This window comes from Homo sapiens, chromosome 3 (genome assembly GCF_000001405.40).
Source record: "Homo sapiens chromosome 3, GRCh38.p14 Primary Assembly".
NCBI classification, from domain to species: Eukaryota; Metazoa; Chordata; class Mammalia; order Primates; family Hominidae; genus Homo; species Homo sapiens.
In genome coordinates this window covers 10,967,460-10,972,808 of record NC_000003.12, presented here as the reverse complement: position 1 = coordinate 10,972,808, position 5,349 = coordinate 10,967,460, and the positions used below count along the sequence as shown (strand labels likewise).

Below are 5,349 nucleotides of genomic sequence, written 5' to 3'. Positions count from 1 at the left end.
TGCTCTTTTCCCTCTGCCACAGTGACCCGCAGTGTTCCAGCTAGAGGCTGCCCGTTTACTCTAGGTCCTGGGATGCAGCTGACAGAGAGCAGAGCCATAGGTGACCTGCAAATTAACTGGTAGATGCTGAGAAGTAAATCTGTGCTGCTGTGAGCCATTGAGACTGGGGGCCATTTGTAACTGCAGCGTCACCAGCCTTAGCCGACTGAAACAACACCCCCTCCCTCCGACTCCTGCTGGGTTCACACGCACCACCCACAGACTCACATCGGTCTCACACCCTTTACACACACCCACACACTCATGTACACTCACACTGGGCATGTGCACATGCACACATGCTTCCCCTGGGCTCACACACACACAGGCTCACACTAGGTACAAAAAACCACATTCCCCTGAGCTTATACACACTCTCACACTCTCATACACACACTGGGCACACACACACACACATTCCCCTGGGCTCATGCACTTTCCCTAGCACACTCCAGGTGAGTCTGAGGTGCAGTGCCTCCAGACTCTGATCGGGACCAGGCAGGGGTGGGAACAGCATGACGTGGGAAGCAGCTGTTGGCTCCCTGGTGGAAATGCAGTTGAATCATTTCATCAGAAGGGGCTTTTATGTTGTCAAAGGACACAGACCTCAACCTTGGCTGAATGGGCAGTTTTCTGAGAACAAGGAACCTTTCCTGGGGAGTCAGGAGTTGGAAAACTTGGCTTTGAGCCTCCCGTGGCTGTGTGACCCATGACTGTCCTCGGTCTGCTCCTCTCTGGAGACAAGAATGACTTTGAATCCAGGAAGGGAGGCTGGTCAAATGCGAATAACAATGAACAGCCCAAATGCAACCTTTGCTCCTCCTGGAGGGCACTCACTGCATGCCCAGTGCTCAGTTTGTGAGTCTGGCTCATGGAATCCTCCCAGCAGCCCTCTGCGGAGGTGTTTGGGTTAAAGTCCCCTCAACAGATGTTGGTGGGTGGCTCCCAGGCTGCAAAACCCATGCTGGATGTGGACGTGGTGATCCCATCCTGATCCCCTCCATAGACACACCTGACTAGACCCTATGACAGGAGGGGGCAGGCATGATGTTGGGATGGAGGGACATAGGCATCCTGCCACGTCCTGGGAAGTTTGGGAAGACTCATCTCTGTCAGGGCTTCTTTAGCTGAGCTTCCAAACACTGGTGAGGGATGGGCTTTGATGCCAGGAAGACCTGGATCCAAGTCCCAACTCCTTTACTTTCTGGCTGTGGGACCTTGGGGAAAGGACTTAACTTGACTGGACCTCAGTTTCCTCATCTGTAGAATTGATATAATCATTGCTATAATCATGGTTGGGTTGTCGTGAGGATGAAATGAGAAGATACTCAGAGCAGGCTCAGGCAGGGCCAGTCTGTGCCTCTTTACCTGAAGGCTCACTTTGATGCTTCTTCTTCCAGGAAGCGTTCCTTGATCTCTTCTTCTTCCATACTCACAGAGCACTTTGTATCTGATTAAAGCACCTGTTCACAGTCTGGCATAAATTATAGTCCACTCGTGCATAAATTTGTTCAGCATTTTGTTAGGCATCTTCTCTGTACCAGGCTCTAGGCTGGGGGCTGGGATGTGGAGTTGAACAAGGCGAGATTGAAACCCTCCCAGAAATGACCTCCCGTTGACCTGTAATCATCCTGAGGGCTGTGGCTACACTGTGTTCACCTTCCTGTCCTTCCTTCAGCCTGCACAGTGTCAAGAGGAACAGAATAGGAAGGGCTCAGGCCTCAGTTGAGCCAGGCTTGGTTACATTCTTGCTAAGTGGCCTTGAGAAAGCCCCTGCTCCTCCCTGAGCCTCAGTTTCTCCATCTGCAAAATGGCAGGCATTGGAACAGATCCTCTCCAAATGCCACTGGGCCCTGTCACTCAAGAGCTACCAAGAATGAGTCTGTCCTCAATGGAGGCCTAGAGCCCACCCACTATGCTCACCTCCCCCAGGCTCTGAGGGTGCCCTGCCAAGGGGAGTGAGGGAAAGGTTCATGCTGGAGCTCTCAGGAGGCTGCCCTTTATTCGGAGTGGCTTTAATTAGCATCTGCGGGCTGATCAGAGTCTGAGTATTAATGAGCCATTGAGTCACAGCCAGTTTTCCAGTGTGCTGTGTTTTTGATGAATTAATCACTTCTGACAGCTCCAAATGCCAACTCTGTGCTTACCCCAAGCAAGGCTGGGGTGCCATTGGCTGTGCCATCCGGGGCCTAGGTTGACCAAGCTGCCCACAGCACCCCCTACCCCATCAGCATGTCTACCAGCCCAGCCTGGGCCCTTGGCATCCTCCATCGGATCCAGCCTCTCTCTCCATCCCACCCATCACTTTTCCTTGCTCCCCAATCCACTCCCATAGCACTGCCAAGTCACTTGGCCTCCTCGCTGGAATGGCAGCCTCTCTCCTTACTCCTGCCTTCCAGTGGAAGGAAATAACCTCTCCAATCTTTTGAGTAACAATGTGAGGAAAATCATATGCTCTCAGCAGCAGACCTCCCCCAAGGGAGAGACCTGTTTTATTTGGATGAATGCCTATATACTTTTTGGGAGAGACTAGGGGTAAGATCTCCAGTGGGAGTGCTGGACTAATTAACACTTGAGGGATGCACATTGAGGGCAGAGTGGAATTGCTCCAGCAGTAGAGGGGATTTTTAGAGACTGCATAGTAAGAAAAAAGAAGAGACATGGGCACACTATGCCTCCTTCTGCTGTGGCCTCCTGGAAATTCCAGGGCTGCACCATGTCCTTTCAGACCCCTGGGCCTTTGCCCAAGCTCTTCCCTCCACCTGGAATGCCCAGGCCTGTCTTTTTGGTTTGAGAAAACTCCTAATTATGCTTCAAAAACCCAGCTCCAATGTCTACTCTACCTTCTACAGTGAGCTCTTTCTGAGTTTCCACTCAACTCTGAAAAGATTGCCTCTGAGGCACTTATAATCTTGTTCTGGATCTGTTGGTGTACACATCTGCCTCCCCTGGTAGCCTGGCTGAGAGCTCCAGAGGGCAGGTACCTTGTCTTGTGCACCATTGTGGCCCCAGGGTCAGGCACATAGCATGTCATGGAGGGTTATGCAGGGAATGGTGGGGAATAAATGGAATTAGTCAAATCCCTGTGGAAGATCGAAGGGACGTCCTTTGGGAATAGTTGAAAATGTTCACCCTGGATTTCAGTTGCATGTGCCTCCTGGCCTAGTAGCCCCATATGGGCAGGGCTGAGGTTTGAGTCCTCTTGGGTTCCACAGCATGGCTCAGCTCATGGATGGTGAGTGAGTGGAGAAACCAGGGCACATGGAACTGAGTGATGCCAGGTGGCTGAACAAGAGGGGAGCTCAGGGGGCTAAAAAGAGGAAGAGCCCTGGCTCCTTCACCTGGTATCTTTCCTTCTCCAGGCTCCATCACTCCCCCAGGCACAGAGCCTGGGATGCAGCTATCTCAGGGTGTCCAATCTTGACTCTGCCAAGAAATGGGGCACAGAACATGCCCCCCATCAGACTGTTGCATGTAGGCAGAATCAGCATTAGAACACACAGTGCCAGCTCCATCACTTCTCCACTCTGTGTCTTTGGGCAGGTGACTTAACCTCTCTGAGCCTCATTTTCCACATCTGCAAAATAGGCCTATTGATAGGAATTACTTCATAGGGCTGTTGAATGGATTAAATGAACTAATGAATAGAATAGAAAGTATTCGGTAATGTGTCCTGCCCATAGTTGATGCTCATACAAGGGTCTTCCATTTCTTTTATTCTTTTCCCTTCCCTTCCTTCATTTTTCTCTCCCTTCACCTCCTATCTTCCTTCCTTTCTAACTTCACAATTTGCAACACAAAGGCAGAGAGACAGAGGAGGAGAGAGAAAAAAATGCTTGATTCAAAATGCTCTGATCGGGGGTACGTTTCATCATCTGTCAGCCACATTTTTGACCAGTACCCCTAAGGTGTCTTCATAGGCGGCTGTGAGTCTCCCCCACTTCAGAGCAGGGGAGCCTTCATCTCTGTGTTATTATTTCAGAAACTGTGTGCTGTTTTTGAGTAAGAGTGTCATGGCCTGGGCTCTGCAGCCCAGGGGCTGGAGGAGGATGAGAAGGACTCCCTGGGATGGCCCGAGGCCTCTTGAAAGCAGCACTCTGAGGGACAACTGTTGTCACAAGGCTTCTGATCATCTTCTGCACGGGGCTTGCTTTCATGTCTGTGATCACAGCTGCTCCCTGGGGCTGTGCTGGCAGGGCGGAAACACAGGGGTGGAGGGGCAGCTGCAGACACAGCCAAGACCAGCATCTCCCGCCAGGCCCAGCTGCTGTCTGCTGGGCTTGAATTCCACCCTTTGCAGTGTGGGCTTCACTAGCTTCCCTTTAAACTCTTGCCCCTTGTCTCTCCATTAAAGTAAGTGGCTCAGACTCATCCGTAAGAAGGTACAAGGACACTCACTGATTCTTTCATTCACTCGCTCATTCATTAATTCACGCATTACTTTATTTTCCTCTCAACCTGGTAGCCAGAGTGACTCTGTTCAATGCAAGTCAGACCACGTTGCTCCTCTGCTCCGAATCCACCTCACTCAGAGTAGAAATCAGAGTCCCTGTAGTGACCTGTATGACCTGGCCCCCATCCCCTGAGATGACCAGCTCCTAATCTCAGCCACACAGTCCTCCTGGCTATTCCTGTTCTGGACACCCTGGGGGCAGACTCTTTTTTTTTTTTTTGAGACAGAGTCTCGCTCTGCTGCCCAGGATGGAGTGCAGTGGCACAATCTCAGCTCACTGCAACCTCCATCTCCTGGGTTCAAGCAATTCTTGTGCCTCAGCCTCCTCCGTAGCTGGGATCACAGGCGTGCACTACCACTCCCGGCTAATTTTGCTATTTTTAGTAGGGATGCGATTTCACGATGTTGGGCAGGCTGGTCTCAAGCAATCTGCCAGCCTTGGCCTCCCAAAGTGCTAGGATTACAGGCGTGGGCCACCATGCCCAGCCCTGGGCAGACTCTTGCTTCAGCATTTTGTACTTGCTGTTCCCTCTACCTGGGACTCGGTGCCTCACTTAGCCACATGGGTCCCTTCTCTTCTCACCTCCTTCGAGTCTTGGCTTCAATGCTGTCATCTCTGGGAACCCTTTTTTGAATTCTCTACCTCTATTGAATTCTATTGAATTCTCTACCTCTCCCCACCCCAGTATTCCCTGTCCCCTGACCCCTTCTCCATAGCATTTATTGCATTTTAAAATCCCACACATTTTATTTATCCATTTTATTTATTGTGTGTCTTCTTCCCCTAGAATTTAAGCTATATTAGTGCAGGAACTTTTATTTCTTGCCTATTAGTGATGAGATCTTGGGAAAGCTAA

At 50.9% G+C, this 5,349-nt stretch overlaps 2 annotated features.

Annotated features, from left to right (window-relative positions):
- Positions 3,742-4,242: an enhancer, noted in NCBI's record as "NANOG-H3K4me1 hESC enhancer chr3:11010253-11010753 (GRCh37/hg19 assembly coordinates)". NCBI's record gives its function as "activates a minimal SCP1, AML or CMV promoter by ChIP-STARR-seq in naive H9 embryonic stem cells {active_cell/tissue: H9 hESC(naive)}" and the evidence as "EXISTENCE:reporter gene assay evidence [ECO:0000049][PMID:30033119]".
- Positions 4,243-4,743: an enhancer, noted in NCBI's record as "NANOG-H3K4me1 hESC enhancer chr3:11009752-11010252 (GRCh37/hg19 assembly coordinates)". NCBI's record gives its function as "activates a minimal SCP1, AML or CMV promoter by ChIP-STARR-seq in naive H9 embryonic stem cells {active_cell/tissue: H9 hESC(naive)}" and the evidence as "EXISTENCE:reporter gene assay evidence [ECO:0000049][PMID:30033119]".